Raw genomic sequence first — 21,316 nt, 5'->3', positions numbered from 1 at the left:
AACAGCCCGGAACTCAGCTAAAATCTGCAGACCTCAGAACCGCCAGCAGCACGAGGACAGAGTCGGGGAGGTGTAGCTGGACAACAGCTCATGAGGCAGAAGAGCTGTGTCACAGGTGTCAGCTGAGCACAAGCCCTGTCTGAGGCCGTGGTGACTGGCGACAGCCGGGCAGTGGAGGGCCTTGGAAGCTGAAGGGTGGTCTTGGCATGGACTCTGGTCCTTGGGGTGCAGGCTCTTGGGTCCCAGTTCTGCTCGGGGTGGTCCTGTGAAGCACTAGACTCCTAGCGGGTCATCTGGGAGGTTCTAGCAGAGCTGAACAGCCCAAGGGTCATCAGGGCTCAGAGAGTCTAAGGTTATGTCAACCTGGCCTGCCCAGAACTGCATCGGGCAGGGGCACTGCTCTCAGCCCTAGCAACACACACTGACACTTCACTGCCAACACTGACACTTTGCTGCCAAAAGCCTTTAATATGCCCTGGTCCCAGGCTGTGTTCATGAAAGCGGACACAGCAGTGCTTCCAGCTTCATGGTTCCCAGGTTCAGGTTCCTCCCAGCGGAGGTGGGAGGGCAGCCCTCACACCTGGCACCCCTGAGTGCCATACTCCTGGAGGAAGTCGTTGAGCTGGGCACAGGCTGCCCGCTGGCGGGTGCTCCGGCACAGGCGTTCAGAGGGCATCTCCTCGATCCAGCTATTCGAGTCCAGCAGGTACTGGGGGCTGCAGGGGGCAAAGGGGCAGTCAGCAGGGCTCGGGAGGATGGCAGGTGGAAACGGAGAGCACAGGCATCTGGCTTCTGAGGGGCAAGGCCTAGGTGGCGAGGCATGGGGAGGACAAGAGACTGAGGGGACCAGATGACTCACTGTCCCTCGAGGTCATAGGTGGCCCCATCCAGACCCATGATCAAATATTCTTTCCCAGGTTCCAAGCGAAGGCGGCAGGAGGCTCGAACCAGGAAGTTGCGCATCTGATTAGCAGCGGCCTTGACATCCTTGGCTGCGGGGATGACGTGCGCAAAAGTGGTCAGAGGGGAAGAGAAGGTGCAGGGTGAGCCCAGGCTGGGGACTCTGTGTAGATCCTCTCATTCCACCTTCGCCACCCCCATGGAGAGGTGCCACTGCCTCCCTATTTATGGCCAAGCCCAAGGCTTCTGACAGCCCAAGGGGATTTTCACACTTCCAGATGGTCAGGTCCTCGGCCACACCTCAGCCTCCCTGTCTCCCCCCAGCCCTGCCCGCCTCTCCGGTTTGCTTCATACTGAAGTGCAGGACTTGGGTGATCTTGGTCTCAAAGAGGCGGAAAGCAGCTCTGCTGTCTTCTCGGAGAACCTTAACCTGGAAGCCTAAGAGGGGGTGAGGAGAAGGGGGAAAGGTGAGTTACTTTGAGGCTGAGAGGGTAGGAAGTTGGTGTCAGAGCAAACAGGCTGCGTGCATGACCTGTAAGAGGAGCAGGCTACACCCAGAGAGACCAAAACGGCCGGTCCCCGAGGGAGGGTCAGGCCAGGGCCTCGGTGGGAAGACTGACCGTACTCCACACGGGGGTAGTAGCAGGCAAACTTCATCCTGTAGCCATCCTCGTCCTGCAGACCCCGCTCCAGGGCGCGACGCTGGCGAGGGCACTTCCCTGAAGTTGGGGAACCCATCAGACAGTGTGGGGGGGGCCCCGGCCATCCCGCCTCCACTGCCCCGCCCCAGGCCCTCAGTCTCACCCTCAGCACACTGGCAGACTTCAGCAGAACACAAGGTGGCCAAGAGTCTGCTCTTACTTGGTGCCCCGTAAAACACAGAACATCTGCGCTCTGGAGAACAGAGAGGAGTTAGGGCACAGGCCCCTCCATTCTGCCTCCTCAGTCCCAGGGAGCCCCAGGGCTCTCTGCCCCCTCACTACCCCGGTGTCCATTGTCCCATAGGAGGGCACCTATGCCAAAGTTCTCCTGAATTTCAGGGTGTCCTGCAGTGCTCACCGGGGTTGTAGTAGTCGTACAGGGTTGCGCTGGCCGGCTGCACCAGCCCCACCGGCACTTCCTGCACAGCCTCAAAGCCCACGCACTCCCGGGAGGTGGGGACCTGGCCAAGCGTGGGGAGGAGAGATGAGGGACCCACTCCCTGGGCCCTGCAGCCCCCTGTACTGGGTTTCCTTGGCCTGTTTTTGTTTGCTTCCTATTGGCCTTCTCTCCAGTGTCCTTCACATTCTGTTACCTTCCTACTCAGAGAACTCTCAAAGCTGCTCCGCAAGGTCTCTGGTGACTTCACTTCCCAGAGGGTGACCTTGCCCCAGTCTTCACTGCTCCAGGCCCTCAGCAGAGTCTTGCATCATGGACGTGTTCTCTGTGAAACTGTCCCTAAGCTAAGGGTTAGCTTCTGGACCACCCTTGGTTCTGACCTGGTCATTTCTTACGTTCCCTCCTTCGGAACTTCCTTCCTCAGAGCTCCCCTGTGGGGGTCTCAACCACTCCCTGGCTTCCACCAAACCAATCCAGGCTGATGATTCCCAAACTGAACTTGCAGCTCCATCCTTGCATTAGGATTGTGGCAGGACCTGTAAGTTCTCCAAGGCACTCTGCCTGCCCCCAAACCCACTCGCCCTCCTCGCGGCCTCATCTTTGTCATGGATACAACTGGGTCCTCCTTTATTTGCCACAACCTAACTGCAGGTTCTGTCATCCTGCCTGACCCCCCGACTCAGGTCCCAGGCCTGACCCCTCCTCGTGCCCACGCGGGCCCAGTCCACACGGTGCCGTGCCAGTGTCCCTCCTGAGCTAGGCTGCTGCACCGTCAGCTCCCTATCCGGGAATCTTGTTGGCTCTGTGTTTTCTATTGTGTTCAACCCAGATGTGTCAGCCAGGCTTCCCCAGCTGATGGGGGCTGGCCCCTCTGCACACACTGGGTAGGGGTCTCCCTGACCTACAAACAGCTGGCTAATGACAGCCACCACACCTTTCTCACATTTTCTCCCAGAGGTTACAGTAAATGTTCCAAAACTTTTTTTGAAGGCCGGGCATGGTGGCTCTGGCCTGTAAATCCGGTACTTTGAAAGGCCTAGGCCAGAGGATCGCTTGAGGCCGGGAGTTCAAGACCAGCCTGGGCAACAGAGCGAGACCCTGTCTTTACTAAATAAATAAATAAAAATGTTTTGAGAGCCGTAAGAGGGTTGATAACTATTTTAGCCAAATAAGGTCGTGAAAAGACAAATACAACTATCATCTATGGCCACCATCACTTTGTAAAGGAAAATACGCTTTAATATTAAAAAAAAGATAGGAAGTTCAACAAAAAAACAAAGGCAGCCCCTCAAGCTGAATAAAACCAGCATTAGGAAAGACTCCCTCTCAAACCCTGAGGGTCCCTGCTGACTGGCATCGGTCCCTGCCGCCTGCAGGTCTGCCCCTTACTCTGCTGTGTCTCACGGGCTCACATTCTTGTCCTTCTCTCTGATGACATCACAAGTTCTCAAGAGCACCAGCCGCTGACACAGCTGTCTCCTGAGAAACCTCCTAACGCATACTCAGTAAACCCGGTGCCATCGAGTCCCTTCCTGCCTCATCTCTCCCCACTCACCGAGTCAAAATACAGCAGGACGTGGGGCCCCTCGGTCTCAAAGTGACTCACGTAACGGTCAGAGAGGGAGGTCAGCTGTGGAAAAGGGGAGTTGGTCACAGGCCCTGCACATGACAGGGCTCAGTACCTGGGACAGAGGGGGTTGCCCTGGGTGGCTGACCACACCTTCTCCAGGTCAGCACGCAGGGCGTGGAATCCACTCAGGAGGGTGACGTCCGCGATGGCCATGCCAGACAGCCCCACCTTGCCGTTCCGCCTGTGGAGACGTGTGAGCTGTCGTCCAGGTTCTGCCTGCGCGGGCTCCAGAAGCCCAGCCCCAGCCTGGGTCCTGCCCTCCCTCCCCTGGCCCAGGGCAGCTCCCGGCGCCCACCAGATGCACACGGTGTAGTGCACCCTGGACTCCTGCTCCTCCACCACCTTGGGCGCCTCCCTCCTGCGGCGGTTCCTCCGACCCTCAAACAGCTGCAGGGGTGTCACGGGCTGCAGAGGGGCATCTGGGTCATCCTTGGCTGGAAGCTCATCGTACTCATAGTCCTCATAGTCCTCGTTTGCTTCCACTGCACAGGGAAGCATTGTGAGGAGGGCTGGGATGGCCACCCGGCTCCCTGCGCCAGCCCCTGCCTGGCCCCAAGGCCTCCCAACCCCCACACTCACTCGTGTACTCGACGTGGCCTTTGACTGTCACTTCTATCTGTAGGTCCTGGCAGGTCGTGTTCTTCATGTCCAGGACATTGTAGGTACGAAGGACCTGGCTCAGCAAGGGGCAGGGAGAGGACGTGGGACATGTGAGGCCACAGACCTCTCTGGTGCCATACCTAAGGGCATCTCCCTGGGCTACAGGATTTGAGGCCTTCAGCCCCTTTTCCTCCCCGTCACTGCACAGTCCACACACACGAGTGGCACCACATTCGCCACAGGCGTCAGGCGAGACAGAGAGGTAAAGAAGCAGGGGCCTGCCCCCAGAGGCCAACACTCCAGACTGTGCTGGGAAGAGGCTGGACTGAAAAGCTCAGGAAAGGCTTCTGGCCAAGGCTTGAAGGAGAAGAAAGAGCTTGTCCTGTGGGCCAAGAAGCAGGGAAGGACAGGAAAGGCAAGGGGATCTGTGTAGACAAGGAGAGCTGTCTGGCCGGAGGGGTGGGCAGAGGCCCAGCCATCTGAGCCGTGGGCAGCGGGGAGTGACTTTTCCCCAAGGCTGATCTGGCTGGGGCTTTTGGAAGGTCAGTGTCACTGCCGTGTGGACAGTGGATCAGACAGGGGAGACAGGAGGTAGAGAGAAGTTCCAGGTAGGGAGAAGGCCGTCTCAGCACAGAATCTAGGATGCAGCACCAAGGGCCACAGGCAGCAGGGGAGCAGAGGAGGAGTCACTAGGGACATAAGGACAGGCTTGGGAGAGGGGCCACTAACACGGCCTCTAGAGTAGTGGCTGGGCTCCTGGCTGGGAGGGGCTCCCACCAGCCAGACAAGAGACACAGAATGAAGAAGGGCTTTGGGACATGCCTCGTCTGAGGTGCTGTGGGAGTGGGACGAGTGGGGCCCATGGTTCAGGGAAGAGGCCTGGGCTGAGGAGTGGGATTCGGAGCCACCAGCACTGAGGCGGGTAAAGGAAACAACAGGTACCCAGAGATGGGGAGAGCAAGCGAAAGCAAGCAGGGGGAAAAACACCCAGGACGGAAGCACGGGACACCAACCCTGAGGTGTCTGCCTCCTTCCCCGGACCATGTGCCTCTGCCCACAGGCCTCTCACTCCACACCCTCTCCTCCACCAGTGCCTGGCCCCACCCCTTCCCTGGCCCTCACCTTCAGGGTTCCTTTGCTGTTTCCTCCCACCTTCACATTGATCTTGCTGCCCAAGGAAAACTTCAGCAACAGAAAAGGGAAGGCGATGTTAGAAGGGCACAAGCAAACCTGTTTTTGCGGCTCCAATAACTTATCTCCTTCCTCAAAACAGCCCCACCTCCTCTCCCCACCTCACATTTCCACAAAGTTTATACCAGCACATGAATTATCTCACTTCAGCCTTCTAACGACCCTGTAGGGTGAACTCTGTGTATGTTACTCTACAAGTGAGAAAACTGAAGCTCAGAGCTCCAGGTCACACAGCCAGGAAGTCAGTCTTCCCCCGAAGACCCCAGGAAGAAGTGCTGCGGGGATTCCACGGGTGGGAGGGTGGGGACGGCTTCTGGCCTGGCCACGAGGCCCAGGTGTCCTGGCTACCCAGGCGAGGGAGTGGTTCACCAGGGAGTGGTTCACCTGCAGCTCCTCCTCCAGGCCGCGAATCTGGCGGTTGTTCAGCTGCAGCGCGTGGGACTTGAACCCATTCCGGCCTGTGGAGCTGAGAGTCACATTGAGACCCCTCTCCTCAGTGGTGTGGGAGGCAATCCAGTAGGCAGACAGGGCATCCAGGGCAATCACCGTGTCCTAGGGAGGTTGAGCCAGGACTCAAGCAAGCCCTTGGTCTGAGGACTACCCACCCCCGCCAGAGCCCGGGGACGGCCCCTACTTGGGTACTGCGGAATCCCCCTTGGAAGCTGCCCTGACGGGTGAGCCAGGCCGAAGCCTGGTCTGCCATCTCTGCTTTGCCCTCGTGAAGCAGGAGGTGCAGCAGGGCGTAGGCTGTGGTTTCAATCCACAGGGCTGGGGCCTGGGGCATGGGGTCGGATGGGTTGCGAGGAGCCGGGGTGGGCGACACGGCATTGCTCTGAGAACCAGTGACTGAGCCCCAGTACAGGTTATCTGAAAGTGAAGGGAGACCACGAGTAAACAGGAAGGCAGGGAGAAGAGCCTGGTCCCCTGGCCCTTAGCCACCCCCTGCTGGGCTCTCCTGAGTCTCCCCCAACCCACCCCTGCTTATAACTTCATTCCTCCTCTGAGTCTTCATCCAGCCTCTCCCTCTGGGCACACTCAGGGATCCTAAGGTCCCCTGGGCCTCAGGCTCACTGCCAGGAGCGCCTCACCCCTCACCTCCAGTCTCCTGGGCCATTGCCATGAGGTTGTTGTGGGCAACACCGAGCAGGTCCACAGGCGCCTTGGTCAGTGTCAGGGCATAGGCCGTGATGGCAGCTGCGTGGGCACCCAGGAGCCCAGCACTTGCTTTCTCCCCCAAAAATGAGTTTGCCTTTGAGATGGAGGCTTCCTGGAAGAAAACGGGAGGAGGGTCTTGGGCCTGGACCCCTGGGTTCCTGAGGAAAAAGGGAGAGAGCTGGGGGCCAGCAGAGGGCAGAAACGCCACTGAACTTACCACTCTCTGCTTCAATGGCTCTGCACCCTCATCCTGGAAGACGGCCAGCCCATGATGAAGGGCGATGGTCACAAAGGCTGTGAGTGCCACAGTCTCATCATTGCCCACCAAACCCCCCTAGTAAGGGGAGAAAAGATGTCAAACAGGAGGGGGAAGGGGCAAAGAGAGTCCTCCGACAGGCGCTTCTCGGGCCAGCCCCAGCATGCCCGCACCTGCATGCTCCTGTCTAACACTGGACAGGGGTCCTGGAACGAGCCGTCAGCCTGCTGCTGGGACAGAAGCCAGTTAGATGTCTCCTGCAGTTTCTCAGGCGAGCCTCCTACCTGCTCCTGGGCCAAACTCAGGACCTTCAACACAAAGGCTGTGAGCCTGGAGGGCAGGAAAGGAGGGTTGGGGATAAGGACTTGCTTCTCATTATGCCCACGCCCCCAGGTGCCTGGTTATCCACCCTCCCATCATACCAGCTCTGTCCCACCCCTGCCCCAGCCCTGACCCCCTCAGAACCCTGGAACCACTCTCCCAAGCTCACCAGGTGCTGCTGTCCCGTGACAACCAAGCCGCATAGGAACCATCCGCCTTCCGAAACTGCTGGATCCGCATGTAGCCTTGGAGAGGAGAGGTGGCCGCTCAGGTGACACTCACCCTTCTGCTGTTTGAGCCCAAGGCCATGCTCCCCATCCTCATCAGGGGCCCCCTTTCTTTCCCTCTGTAGCCTCCTGGGCTGTCCATCTTCCAGTAACTGTCCTTTCCTGGCCCCCCTCCTGCTTGCCCTTGCACCCAGAACCTTTCTGGATCAGATCCACGGCGTGGTCCTTGGTCTCGGGAGGCAGTGTGCTCCACTGCTCTGTCTTGTCCAGGTAGCGGGAAGCAGCCAGTGTCGGAGCCAAGTAGATCATGGTTTGCTCCCCACAGCCTCGAGGAAGCCTCAAGAGGGAGGCCACGCCTCCTGGTGACAAGGCCCCCTCAGAGCCTAAAGTGTCCAATGGATCTGAGGCTACATGGGAGGGAGAGGGTGGAGGTCTGAGGACTCTGTGTCAGAGGCTCACGGGGAGTGGGACCAAGCAGGGATCCACAAGTCCCACATGAATCCGAAGGTGGCCACTGGGAAGGGACTAAAGGGCACTCCCACCTGTAACCCTGACGTAGCTGTTAAAGTCCCCATCAGGGATCATATTGGGATCAGAGTTGCCAGGTATTTCCAAGGTCCGGCCTCGGTGGTCTGGGGAAATGGGGGAAGTTGGCAGCCTGTCCTGCTGTCCACATCCCCCACCACCTGTACCCACTTAGGAAACCAATGGCTGGAGGTAGAGGGTCACTCACCCAAGGGGTTGAGTTCATAGACCAGCTCCTCTCTATGGATGGCCCCTTCCTTCTGTCTCAGGGAAAACATGGTTGTGAGGTCACACAGGACTACAGCCTGCCCTGCTAGCGCAGACTCCCCCAGAACTTTGAGTTTCAACTCCAGGGACAGAGTTGGATCAGAATTGTAGAAGATGGGAACAGACCAAGGCATTGGTTTGGGTGTTGGGCCCCTGGCCTGGCCAGCAGAGAGAGTGCTGAGGGTGGAGGACAAAGCTGGGGGCCCGGGGACTTATATTCAGGGGTGCTCCATTCACCTCAATCTGCAGAACCTTGGACACCGCATCTCCCACAGGGAATTCGAAGGACCCTCGAGCCACCACCTTCAGAGACACAGCGGCGGCTGCCGTGGGCACCACAGAGAAGGCAACAGGCCGGGCAGAGCCCGCAGGCACCAGCACCTGCTGGGCCAGCCCTCCGCCCCCAGCCAGGCACAGCCCCTCCACTGGGGACACGTGGACGCTCACCTGAGGGCAGGAAAACGAGGATGGCCAGAGTCCTGGCCCGGTTAGCCTCCCCACCCCTCACTGGGCCCTGGCTCCCCCAACTCCTGTATGCTCAGGCTCCTATGGGGCCTCACAGTCAGGTTTTTATCCAGGTAGTTATAGAGGACAGGCCGCAGCTCCAGCTGCTCAAAGCGGCGGACAGACATGGGCAGGCGGAGGTGCAGGTGGAACTCGCGGAACACCCGGAGCTGGACTGGGGTGGCCACACATAGGCCTGAGGGAAAGGAAGCGTGGGCACAGGGGCAGAGATCAGAGGGGCCATCAAAGCTTCAGGGCCACAGGAGGGAGGGGTGGGGGTGACCCAGCTCTGTCTCAGTCCGCCTCTGCCCTCTGGCCCACGCCAGCTGCACGCTGGCACAGACCTCCCCAGATCACTGGACCCTCTTCCTACACTAAGAGCAAAGGGAACAGGGAGCTGGGGTACAGGGAAATGGAAGCAGGGTCACCTGAGGCCCAGACAGGGTGACATCACCTTTGGTTTTGGACAGGCTCAGGCCATGGATCTCCCACGTGGTCAGAGAGTCGGGGAGCCACAGTGTCAATCTGTGTAGGGAAAGGCAGAGAAGGCCCGTCTACCCCGGCTGGCCCCGAGACACAGCACAGAGAAAAGGCCGGGCCGGCACACACTCTCACATTTGAAAGCGGTCCACTGTTTCCACTCTCCAGAGCCAGTTCTCTGGGAAGAAGCTGCGCACGGGAATGTCATCCTCATCAATCAGGTCCTCCTCCTGCAGGATCTCCAGGGCTGGGGGACCACGGTGGACGGGAGTGAGGAGGGGACCGTTCTGCCTTTCCAAGCGCCGCCACCTGTGCCCTAGCCCCACCCAGCCCCTCACCTCGTTGGAGGCCCGCCTGGCCCTTGTCCCTGCTCTTCTTGCGCAGACTCTCAGCAAATTGGCAGCAGGACAGGAAGGGCTCCCGGCAGTCCGGCTGCTGCACGCGGGCTGCCCGCTGCTCGCAGGAACGCATCATGGGCAGACGTGTCACCCCATCCTGGCAGCAGCGCTTGGCTGTCGGGGAAGCATACTGACCCACTGCAGGGCCAGGTGGGGGTGAGCATGAGAGGACAAAAAGGACATACACCTCAGCCCCCGCCCCGACCCCTTGAGACCAGCAACATAAGAGAGGCTGCTGGAGAGAGCTGCCCACCTTCCACTCGTAATCCCGGAATTCGGATCTCTGGCCCCAAATACCACACGTGGGTTCAGCAAGGAGCCGAGGGGCAGAGAGGCAGACCCCCAACCCGGATCCCAGGTGGAGAGCCCAAGCTACTGCCTAGGCACCCGCAACTCACATTTCTCATTAATCGCCTTTTGGAAGTTCACGTTTCTCTTTTTCCGGGTTGTCTTCTCCTTGGGACAGCTTAGTCCTGGTAGAGAGAAAGGCTGCAGTCCAGCCGTCAGGCACTCGGCCTCCTCCCCTCCTCCCCTTCCCCTGCCCAGCCCTTCCTGCCCGGACTCTTCCAGCTGGTCCCCTCAGGCCCTTCCTCCTTCCTTATCTTCCCGCCACCCACTCCCCTTCCTTCTCTGTTCTCACTCTTTCTGGATAAGGTCCACTGGTCTCCATCAGAAAAGGCCAGGCCCGCTGCCTGGAACACCTGAAGGGCACTGTCCCCACCCCCAGGACCACAGCCGAGGTCATAGCTGTTCATAGCTTCAAAGACCTGCAAGAAAGGCAGGAATGCTAGGAGCCAAGTGTGGCTGAGGGGCAGGACTGAGCACTCGGCACAGGTGAGAGGGCAGCACATGGGGGGATAGGAAAGGATACAGAGCCAGGAGATGGAGACCACAGGGCCAAGTGGGGAAGAGACTGTGGGGAGCCTCAGTGGGATCCAGGGGCTGCGCCCAAGGCTCAGGGAAGCAGGGGGATGAGCCATGGAGGGGTGAGAGAGCTGTGGAGAGGGTCTGGACAAACCTTGCCCATGTTGAGGGGCTTGTGGGACTTGCTGCCTGCAGCATACAGAGCTGTGTCCAAGGCTCCCAGCGCCACCAGGGCTAGGGAGTCGGTTTCTAAGTGGAGCTTCACGGACTCCCCGTTCCGGTACTGCTTGGCACCGTCCACGCTGAGCTCCAGCTGGCAGGGGCGGCAGGTGGGGGCGGTCAGAGTGGGAGAGCTTCCTTCAGTCCCGGTATCCTCACTGCCCCCAAGCTAAATCCATGCCCTGTTGGCAATCACCCTGTCCTCAACCCCCTCGGCACAAGTGCCATCTCTCCTGACCCCGGTCACCTTGCCCTCGCAGGCCCCAGCCTGGACATCCACTCGCAGGGAGTTGGCCACTGGGTGGTCTCCATGGTAGTAGAAGGCCACAAAGTAGAAGGAGGGTGCCAGGTGATGGTCCACAAACACCGAGACCGAGGTCAGGGTCCTCTTGGGCTCTCGATTCATGAACACGATCTGCCCTCGGGATAGGATCTGGGCCAAGAATGGGAGGGACAAGAGTGGTTGCCTCTTCATGGGACAGCCTCAGCCTTGAACCCCCCCAGCCCCACCCAGAGGGCTCTTCCCTGCACCCCAGCCCTCCGTGACTCCCCAGCTCATGCACACCATGTAGTAGTAATGAGAAAAGGTGGCCCCACTGCCCACGGCTCGCAAGTTCAGGTTCAGAGTGTCCCCAACACGAGGAGGTCGAGAATCCGGCCGCTCAATAGACAGAAACCCGGGGCCTCCTGAAGGTGGGGCTGCCACAGTGAGCCTGGCTATCGCTGGATGTGGGGAGCCTGCAGATACCTGGAGAGGGGGTCAGGTGCGAATAGGGTAGTAGCTCAGAGCCAAGTACCCCACCTTCCCCCCAAGTCAGGCCATGGATCCTTGGGACCCCAGCTCACCCTCCTCCCCTTCCCCCACCATCTCCCAGGGGTCCGAGGAGTCCTACTGAGAGCTGCAGCTCTGAGATGGTCTGAGGGATAATTATTGGAATGCTGACTTGGCCGCTCCCGTCTGTGTTTTGCTGAATGTCCTGGACTTCAGGAACAGACCCAGGAGAAGACACCGTGGCAGAAACTTTGACAGGAATGCCAGAAGCTGGGGAGCCTGACATCTCACGGACCAAGGCCTAGGCAGGTAAAGGAGGGCAGGCAAAAGAGAGTGGTCAGACCCTGAGCCCTCCTAACTACCACATCCTCCCTACTCATCCTTCCCCTCTGGAAGAAACCTGCAGCAGGAAGGGGGCCCCAGGCACAAGGTGTCGCTTGGTCTTGCTAAGATCCAAGGAGAAGGGAGATGACACAAAATACCAGGATGTGAGCTCTGCCTCCTCCATCTCCCCACCTGCAAGACAAAGGACAGAGAGAGGTGGGGGACAGAGCCCAAGAAGAGAGGGACAGGAGGACAAGTGGGGAGTGGCTTGAGTGGTTCCCTCCCACAAGACAGTGAGCTCCCAGGGCACAGGCTGCCGTATTCCTGTCTGTGTTGGGAAAAGGACTTGTGGGGTGCCTGTATAAACTGGCCATAAAAATATGGGACAATAAGTTGTGGAAAGCCACAAGAGGCCTCTGAGGAGAAAAGCCTCCTAATTGCCATGCTCAGAGCGAGACCTGCTCTCTCTTATCTGTAAACACTGTATTCAAGGAGAAAGACCCTCCTTTGAAGCATTGGAATGTGGACAGACGTGCAGGCTCCTAGTTAAGCCCACTCCCACTAGCTACTCTCCGATAAGTTAAAGATATGCTGTTTGAGCACAAAGGAGATTCATTTAAAGCGCTTCTGCTGTAGATTATGCCTGTGACGCACTGCTACCCTTTCACTGTTTTGCCCTGAACATCTGCTTCTTAGATCTAAGTTATTGTACTCAATAAATAGTGTGGAGACCAGAGCTCTGAGCCTTTTGCAGCCTCCATTTTGCAATTGGCCCCCTGGCCTCCACTCTTTATGAACTCTTAACCTGTCTCTTCTCATTCCTTTGTCACCACCAGACTTCAGGTACCCTACAGGTGGTGTTGAGGCTGGTCCCCAACATTCTGGCGCCCAACGTGGGGCCCAAAAGAATCTGGTGAGGAAACGCTCAAGCATGTGAAACAGAGGACCAACGAACAAAGGACTCCCAAGGACATAAAAGTTTTAACCTCTACAGGTAAGCGGGGCGCCCAGAGAAAGCTAGGGACACAATGGGAAAAACTGAAAGTAAGTACACCACGTATTTGAGCTTCCTACGGCAGCTCTTCAAGCATGCATGGTGGGGTAAAAGTTGATACGGAAAATCTTATGGATTTGTTTCATGCTATGGAACAATTTTGCCCTTGGTTCCCAAAACAGGAAACTTTGAAATTAAAACATTAAGAAGGAGTTGGAAAGGACCTTAAAAGAGCATATAGAGAAGGAAAGGAAATTCCTTTGCCTGTTTGGTCGCTTTGGTCATTGGTGCATGCAGCACTGGAGCCTTTTCAGACAGATAATGAGGCTGAGTCAGAGGAGGAGAGAGAGGAGTTTGATAATCAGAACTCTGAACCACCTCTACCGAGTACTAACAAAAAGGAGAGTCTGAAGATGATTTATGCCAATCTCCCCAGTCTCCCTAAACCTACTCAAAAAATTGTTCAGCCCACGGTTCCTGTAGAGAAATGTCCAGAATGGCCACCTCCTCCTCAGCCGAGTGGGTGCAGGGGGAGGGAGCCCGAGACTTGGCTCACCGTGCCCATTATTGCCCGACCCACAGTTCATTATGGAGATGGGGCAATTCAGGTTCACCCTACAGTTATTACAGTGAAGGAGCAATTTCCCTTAAAATGGATGACCCGGCGCCCCGTCTGGGTTGAACAGTGGCCGCTCCCTAAGGAAAAGTTGGGGGTGCTTTATAAAATAAACTACTAAAAAAAGGATATATTTCACCCACTTTCTCTCCTTGGAATTCCCCAGTATTTGTAATTAAGAAAAAGTCCGGTAGATGGCGTCAACGCTGTAATTCAACCGATGGGAGCCTTACAACCTGGGCTCCCATCCCCCACTGTGCTCCCTAAAGACTGACCGCTTGTTATTATAGATTTAAAAGACTGCTTTTTTACAATTCCTTTAGCAGAGGCAGATTTCAAAAAATTTGCCTTTACCATTCCTGCCGTTAATAACAAAAAACCTGCAGCCAAATATCATTGGAAAGTTTTGCCCCAGGGTATGTTAAATAGTCCCACAGTTTGTCAAACTTTTGTAGGCAGAACTATCCAGCCTGTTAGAGATCAGTTTCCAGATTTGTGCAGCAAAAAGTAGAGACCAACTTATTCAATATTATTAATCTTTGCAAAAGACAATTACAAATGCTGAATTACTTATAGCACCTGACAAAATTCAAACAACCACTCCTTTTCAGTATTTGAAAATACAAGTACAGGATAGAGCCATTAAGCCTCAAAAGGTTCAAATTAGAAGAGATTCTTTCAAAACCTTAAATAATTTTCAAAAATTGTTAGAAGATATTAATTGGATTTGGCCCAATTTAGCAATTCCTACTTATGCTATGTCTAATCTCTTCTCAATATTGAGGGGAAATACCAACTTACGCAGTAACAGAGAACTAACACCCGAGGCCATGAAAGAGTTATCAGTAATTGAAAACAAAATTCAGCAAGCCCAGGTCAGTAGGATTGACTCAGACTTGCCTTTATAATTCATTGTGTTCCCTACTTCACACTAACCACACAATAATGGGGGTTATTGTTCAAAATGATGATTTAGTTAAATGGTCCTTTTTGCCACATAATACCATAAAAGCACTTACAGTATACTTAAATCAGATGGCAATTCTAATTGGACAGGCTCATATATGAATTATTAAATTTTGTGGCACTGAGCCCAATAAAAATTATAGTTCCAATAAATAAAAATCAGGTTAAACAGGCATTTATTAACTCAGTTACATGACAGATTAATTTAACAAAATTTGTTGGATGTATTAATAATCATTATCCTAAAAACTTTTCAATTCTTAAAATTAACTACATAGGTTCTTCCAAAAATTACTTGTGATGCCCCTTTGGAAGGAGCCATAGCTGTTTTTACTGGTGGGTCTGGTAAACATGAAAAAGCAACAGTCTGGTGGAGACCACATAATCCAATCACTTGATCTGAATTTACTAACATTCAGAGAGCTAAGGTTATTCTGTGTATTTATTTAAAAACTATTACAGCCTTAAGTTTGCTCTGGAGCCCACTCTGTGTGGTCTTTTTCTTCAACTTCAACAATTACTAGACCAAGGTACACATCCTACTTTTATTACACACATTCGAGCCCACAGCTCTCTGCCTGGCCCATTGGCTTACGGCAATAATCAAGCAGACCTTCAGGTTATGACATCACTGCTTGACCAAGCCACCCAATCACATCGATTATTCCACCAAAATTGGAGAAACTTATCTAAATAATTTCAACTTACACAGAGGCTGGCTAAACAAATTATCCCACAATGCCCAGATTACCAGCTCACAGGCACATACCCTCCTTCAATAGGTGTTAACCGTAAAGAATTGGAACCTAGTCAGTTCTGGCAAACAGATGTTAAACACATCCCTAAATTTTAAAAACTAAAATATGTACATACATCCATTGTTACCAACACTCATCTAATTATTACACATTTAAAAAAATAAAAGTAAAAAAAAGACTAAGACAAAAATCAAAAAAATACAAAAAAGTAAAAAAATTTAAAAAGTTATAAAAATGTACCTTTAGTAAAAAAATTATAAAACATAAAAAGTTAAGACATGTTAAAAATTGTCTGTAAAAGTCATAAAAAAAGTTATAAAAAATTTATACAAAAAAGGTTGTTTAATTTTGTTTTAAAGATCTAAACAAGTTTTAAAATGATAATTGTAAAAAATTCCGTGTGTAAACGTATTTACTAAAGTTAAAAAGATATCATCCAGTTTTCTATAAACTAAACATTAAAATAAAACACAAGTTTTTCTTAAAACACTAACCTGCTCTTTAAAAATTGTAAAAAGTCTCTTAACACAGACGCCACTCCTAAAATTTCCAGTACCAGCCTAAAGACTACATCCTCATCAAAGGATAAAAAATTAAAAAATAAAAAAACATTTGAACCAGCCTAAAAAAGACCCTACAGGAACTACAGCCTCAACAATGCGACTTCCACAAACAACACAGGCCTCAGACATTATACTAAAAAAACAAAAGTCTAAGCCAAATAATTTATTCATTTTTAATTCTCTCACTTTGCCTACTACCTATACCTGCTACACTGTATTAAGCTCGTATCTTAAATCCGCCTTTCTTCTGCCCTGTTACTTTAACAAACACCCCCTTCTCAGCTTCTAATAACATAACTGCTTAGCTAGAATAAATTAACATACCCCCAGTGGGGTTCCTCATTAATAACATATAGTAAACTAAGATGCCAAGTAACACTACAGGTCACTCTTTTACTAAAAAAAAAAGTTACTAATTATACTCATGTTTGTCTTCTGTTATTTACTAATCCTAGAATACAAAGCCAAAATAAAAACAGTGACCTCCTCGCCTAACAAACCTGTGGCTACAACAGCCCAAAATTATACCTATTGGGCATGTGTCCCATTCCTGCCTTTAATTAGGCCTGTCACATGGTTAAAACCCCCAGTTGAAGTTTATGTTAATAATAGCGTTTGGATCCCTAAGCCTACAAATACTCATGGGCCCTCTCACCCAAAGGAAAAAAAAAAAAGTTAATAAATGTGTCCATAGGTTATCAGTTCCCCCCTCTTTACATAAGGCCAACTATCGGTTGCCTAAAAGGCTACCGACAACATTGACTAGTTAAAATTCCAGGTCATAATCAAAGACCAGTATCCTATCATTTATTTTCTGGATGGAGCCCGGATCATTCACAGAGTTCAATTCAATTAACAGTTTAAGCCCCCAAAAAAGAGGTGCCAACAACCTTAACAATGGTCAAATAATTTAAAAATATTAATTAAAAAAAATTACATCTCTGATCACACTATGGTACTACAAAATAATTCCTATGAAATTGTCATTAATTGGTCCCCTGAGGGGACCTTTACAGTTAATTGTACCCATCAAAATAATAAATACAAGACAAAACTAAAACAGAAACTATACTATCAAAAAGGTAACACTACTTACACTGAAAAACGTGCTCATTTTCCCATAATTTGGACCAATTTTAGTACAGCTGGCCCACATCCCAAAATAATTAATCCAATAATAGGCCCTAAACACTCCAAATTATGAAAGTTAATAATGGCCCAATCTCATATTTAAGTTTAGAAAAAAATATATTATCTTTAAAAAAAAAAGGTTAAAAACTTCAATTTGCGTATCAGTTTTCTTCCAACAAAACAGTGCCCATTCAGAGTTGTGTCAACCCTCCTTTTATGTTAATGGTCAAAAATATTGACATTCGACCTAATTCTCAAACTATTACTTGTCAAAACTGTCACCTTTTCACCTGTATTAATTCCACGTTCGGTGTAAAAACATCTGTGTTACTGATAAAAACTAAGAAAGGAGTTTGGATACTGGTTTCCCTCAATAGACCTTAGAAAGCCTCTCCTTCCATTCATATTGTCACAAAAATGTTTTAAAAAAAAGTGTTTACCAAAACAAAGAGATTTATTTTTACCCTTATAACAGTCTTATGGGCCTTATTGCAGTCACAGCTACTGCTGCGGCTGCTGGAATTGCTTTACACTCCTCTGTTCAAACTACAAAATATATAAATAGTTAACAAAAAATTCCTCAAAATTGTGGAATTCTCAGACCCAAATAGACCAACAATTGACAAATCAAACAAATGATCTTAGACAGACTGTTATTTAAATGGAAGATCGTACAATAAACTTAAAACATCAATTAGAAGTACAATGTAATTGAAATACTTCCAATTTCTACATAACTCCCCATTCGTATAATACTACTAAACATCATTTTTAAAAAGTTAGACATCATCTAAAAGAAAAAAATAAAAATTTAACATTAAATATAACCAAATTTTAAAAAAACAGGTTTTTAAAGCATCTCAGGCTCATTTAACCCTCCTGCCTGAGACTGACATTCTCATTGGAGCTACTGACGGACTTTCAAACATAAATCCTCTTAAACAGATTAAGACCATTAAAGGATCAACTATTACAAATTTTACTTTAATGTGTATCTGTTTATGCTGTTTACTTTTAGTCTACAGATGCAAAAGACACTTCTGAAAACAGACCAAACACCACAAATAAGCCATAATAGCAATAGCGGTTAAAAAAAAAAAAAGGGAGGGGGGCATGTTGGGAAAAGGACTTGTGGGGTGCCTGTATAAACTGTCCATAAAAATATGAGACAATAAGTTGTGGAAAGCCACAAGAGGCCTCTGAGAAGAAAAGCCTCCTAATTGCCATCATGTTCCCATGCTCAGAGTGAGACCCCCTGTCTTATCTGTAAACACTCTGTTCAAGGAGAAAGACCCTCCTTTGAAGCATTGGACAGACATGCAGTCTTCTAGCTAAGCCCACTTCCACCAGCTACTCTCCGATAATTTAAAGACATGCTGTTTGAGCACAAAGGAGATTCATTTAAAACTCTATTGCTATAGATTACGCCTATGACCCACTGCCTCCCTTTCACTGTTTCTCCCTGAACATCTGCTTCTTAGATCTGAGTGACTGTACTCAAAAAATAGTGTGGAGACCAGAGCTCTGAGCCTTTTGCAGCCTCCATTTTGCAATTGGCCCCCTGGCCCCCACTCTTTATGAACTCTTAACCTGTCTCTTCTCATTCCTGTGTCACCAATGGACTTCAGGAACCCTACGGGTGGCGTTGAGGCTGGTCCCCAACATGTCTGTGCATGCTGAGGCCTAGCACGGGGCATTGAACAACACATGTCCACTGGAGGAGTGAAGGAATGAGCAGAACGAGCAAAGAAATAAATAAACTCAGCCAGGGAAAAGGGCCGAGTCACAGAGACAGAGTTGGAGAGAAACCAGGTCTCCTGGGTGTTTCCTGGTTTTGAGTCTGAGATGAGATGTGAGAAGTGGGGTGGTGTTGGTGCCGGAGGACAGAGGGTTAGCTCAGAGGTCAGAGGCAAGGGTCTGGGGTTACAATAAGGGAAAGTCACCCACCTGGAGACTCAATGATGGCTGCAGCAACGTAGAGGCGCAGCCCCTGGAGGTCAGTAATGCCCATATTCAGCTTCTCCAGGGCGTCCTGGAACTCTGCCTTTGAGAGGGAAATGTGGCTCTGTCCATTCACCAGCTGGGGCATAGAAAGAAACAGGACATAGGGTGAGACTGAGTCTCCCACCTCACCTCCCTTGCCCCTTCCCCTCCCCAGCCCCTATTCTCCTTCCTACCTTGGTCTGACTCTCCAGCCCCCGAAAGAAAGTCTTCTTACCATCCTCATCTAGGAGCCCAAAGCGCACATATGCCACCCCCTGCACTGGCTTCCCATAGATGTACCTGTCGTGGCAGAGAGAAGAGGGTGGGCCAAGGGCTGGGGGGAATAATGGCCCGAGGGCAGGGAAGCAGGAGCCCATTCATACTGAGTAGGGAGCAGGACCCGGTGCTGGTGGGCAGAGGTGGGGAGGGAGGTATTACCTGGCCTGGATGTCTAACTGCATTTCATCAAGATGGCCTGGCACCGTCAGGATGTAGGGCTTTCCAGGGGTGATCTTCACCTCAAAGTTGGGAAGGACTGACCCAGGGTGAAGGGATAGGCAGGTCAGACTCCAGCTCAAAGACTCCCCTCTGCTCAGGGCTGTGGCACCCATATCTCCCTGCCCTGAGCTGCTCCCAGTACCTCTCCTTCCACCCTTATTTCCTTCAGGAAAGCAGCTGCCTGTCCCTCCAGTTTCCAGCTCTCACCATATTTCTTCACCTCAAACTGGGTGCTGCTGTTGGATTCCAGGCCATCTGAGAATCGGGCTGAGATCTTCCAGGTCCCTGGCCTGAGAATGGACAAGGAAGGGGCTCAGCCCATCTGTACAGTGGGGCACGGAGAGCCAGCAGCCTGCTTCCCTGGGAAGAGGACTGTGGGGGTTAACCAGAGGCTCAGGAGGCTGAGGGTCAGGGCATCTGGGGACGTGCCTCTGTGTGGGAGGTGGAGAGCCTAACAGGAATTGGGGTGGTGTAGCTTGGGGGCAGCCCCCACATTGGGAGCGCTCACTCTGAGATGTCTGGGATCACAAAGTCATCCTGGAAGATGGACGAGGGCATGTACACCTCCTTCTTCCGCACGCGGAGGCCGTGAGAGTTCTGCAAGGGGAGAAGTGCTCACAGGCAGGAGGTCACATCAGTGGCCAGGATCAGGAAGGCCAGAGGTCGGGGACTCACCTCCACCATGACTGTGATGGTGTCAGTGCTCGGGCGCATCTTCTGATCCAGAGCAAAGACCCGGTACCGAACTGGGAGTGGAGGAGGAGAGAGGTGAGCAGGGGTCCATGTGCAAGGGGAGGGTGGGTCAAACTCCACAGAGGGAGCAGGGGACAAATGTTTCCTAAGCACCCCTTCTGTGTGGCACTTTCTTTCAGGTTATCTCACTTAGGGGGCACCAAACTCATCCTGAGAGGGCTCGGAGGGGGTTAAAGGTTGAGGCCCTGGGGCTGAGACTCACCCCGCTGGCCAGGGTTGTAAATGGGCTGGTCCGTCTGCAAAAAGAGGTGCCCCCGGCGAGAGGAGAAGAGCAGGTTGATACCCTGGATGTTTGTCGTTCTGGACAGAGAGTCCTTTAGCCATGGCGAATGGGCCACCAGCTGGACCTCAGGGCCTCTGAGGAGTTGATGGAGGCCACAGCTCTTCGCATCTTTCAAGGGCACCTGTCAGGAGAGGGAGAGGGAGAGGGAGCGGGTCACAGAGCAAGAGACAGCTGACCAAAAAGGACAGAGACCAAGGGAGAAACGTGGAAGGAGAATGCCAGGGTGGGAAGACAGGAGGGGAGGAGGCCAGTGGGAAGATGATGACACTTACAAGACAGATGGGAACAGGGCAGGAGGCCCCCACAAGCAGCAGGAGGGCATGGGGTCTGGTTACCTGGAGACTGAGGAGTGCGAAGTCTCTTTCTGAGCTAAGGGTGAAGTCCACCTTTGGGGAGCAGGGGACATTATTACGAGATGGGTTTCTCAGGAACACTGATCCTTTCACTACCTGTCCTCGGGGCACATCCTGGAGCTGCACCCCCACCGATAGGGGGACCCCCAGATGAACCACAGAAGGAGAGAACAAGAGCAACCTGGGGAGAACAGACAGGATCAGCAGTCAGACTTCGCTCTGACACCTCCACCCCTGCTCTCCCTCACTCCTGAATCGGGTCCCGATGCCAGCCCTGCCCCAATCCAAGCACCCAGCATCCCGCCTCCAGGACCTGGGCTTCTGCAGAGATAAGGTGAAGAAGCTGGATGCCCAGATCAGCCCCCAGAGCAGCCTCATGGCTGGAGGATCCAAGAGAGGTTAGATCCGTCTGTCTGTCTGCTACCTTCTGGCCAAGCTAGGCCTCGGGGCAGAGTTGACTCTGGACCTTGCTCCTCCCCCAGCCCAGCTAAGCTGGGAAACCACGTGACAGCCAAGAAGTGCAACTGGCCTCAGGCCCAGAGTTGTGGGGGCACCCCGGACACCTGGGTGTCCATGGGAAACTCTGAATCTTGGCCCAGAAATAACCCTGTCCTTCCCCGTTAACTCCTCTCATTCCAGTGCCTGAGCACCTCCCCCTACCAGGTATATCTGTATCAGGGTATAGGT

At 52.5% G+C, this 21,316-nt stretch overlaps 1 protein-coding gene across 2 annotated transcripts; it reads right to left on the bottom strand.

The window, feature by feature from the left end:
- On the bottom strand, positions 434-21,058 carry C4A (complement C4A (Chido/Rodgers blood group)). Of its 2 annotated transcripts, NM_007293.3 has the most exons (41): positions 20,943-21,058; positions 20,612-20,810; positions 20,196-20,397; positions 19,916-19,986; positions 19,749-19,837; positions 19,448-19,530; positions 19,181-19,277; positions 18,937-19,042; positions 18,707-18,839; positions 11,808-11,923; positions 11,529-11,708; positions 11,201-11,383; positions 10,883-11,068; positions 10,571-10,729; positions 10,193-10,319; positions 9,951-10,025; positions 9,493-9,690; positions 9,290-9,401; positions 9,129-9,199; positions 8,731-8,870; positions 8,408-8,617; positions 8,112-8,163; positions 7,921-8,010; positions 7,576-7,785; positions 7,321-7,396; positions 7,004-7,160; positions 6,792-6,908; positions 6,515-6,686; positions 6,054-6,286; positions 5,804-5,971; positions 5,351-5,410; positions 4,208-4,301; positions 3,924-4,110; positions 3,719-3,809; positions 3,554-3,628; positions 1,960-2,062; positions 1,705-1,794; positions 1,521-1,619; positions 1,255-1,338; positions 860-992; positions 434-716 (listed from the first exon to the last, which is right to left on the bottom strand). In NM_007293.3, exons 1-41 carry the CDS (start codon positions 21,005-21,007, stop codon positions 575-577), a joined length of 5,235 nt encoding a protein of 1,744 aa, NP_009224.2. In that variant the 5' UTR covers positions 21,008-21,058; the 3' UTR covers positions 434-574. The 2 variants fall into 2 exon arrangements, with proteins under 2 accessions (NP_009224.2, NP_001239133.1); NM_001252204.2 differs by lacking the exon at positions 3,719-3,809 and having other exon boundaries at positions 3,971-4,110.

The sequence above is a fragment of the Homo sapiens genome, chromosome 6, assembly GCF_000001405.40.
Source record: "Homo sapiens chromosome 6, GRCh38.p14 Primary Assembly".
NCBI lineage: Eukaryota > Metazoa > Chordata > Mammalia > Primates > Hominidae > Homo > Homo sapiens.
This window is presented reverse-complemented; position numbering and strand designations above follow the sequence as displayed.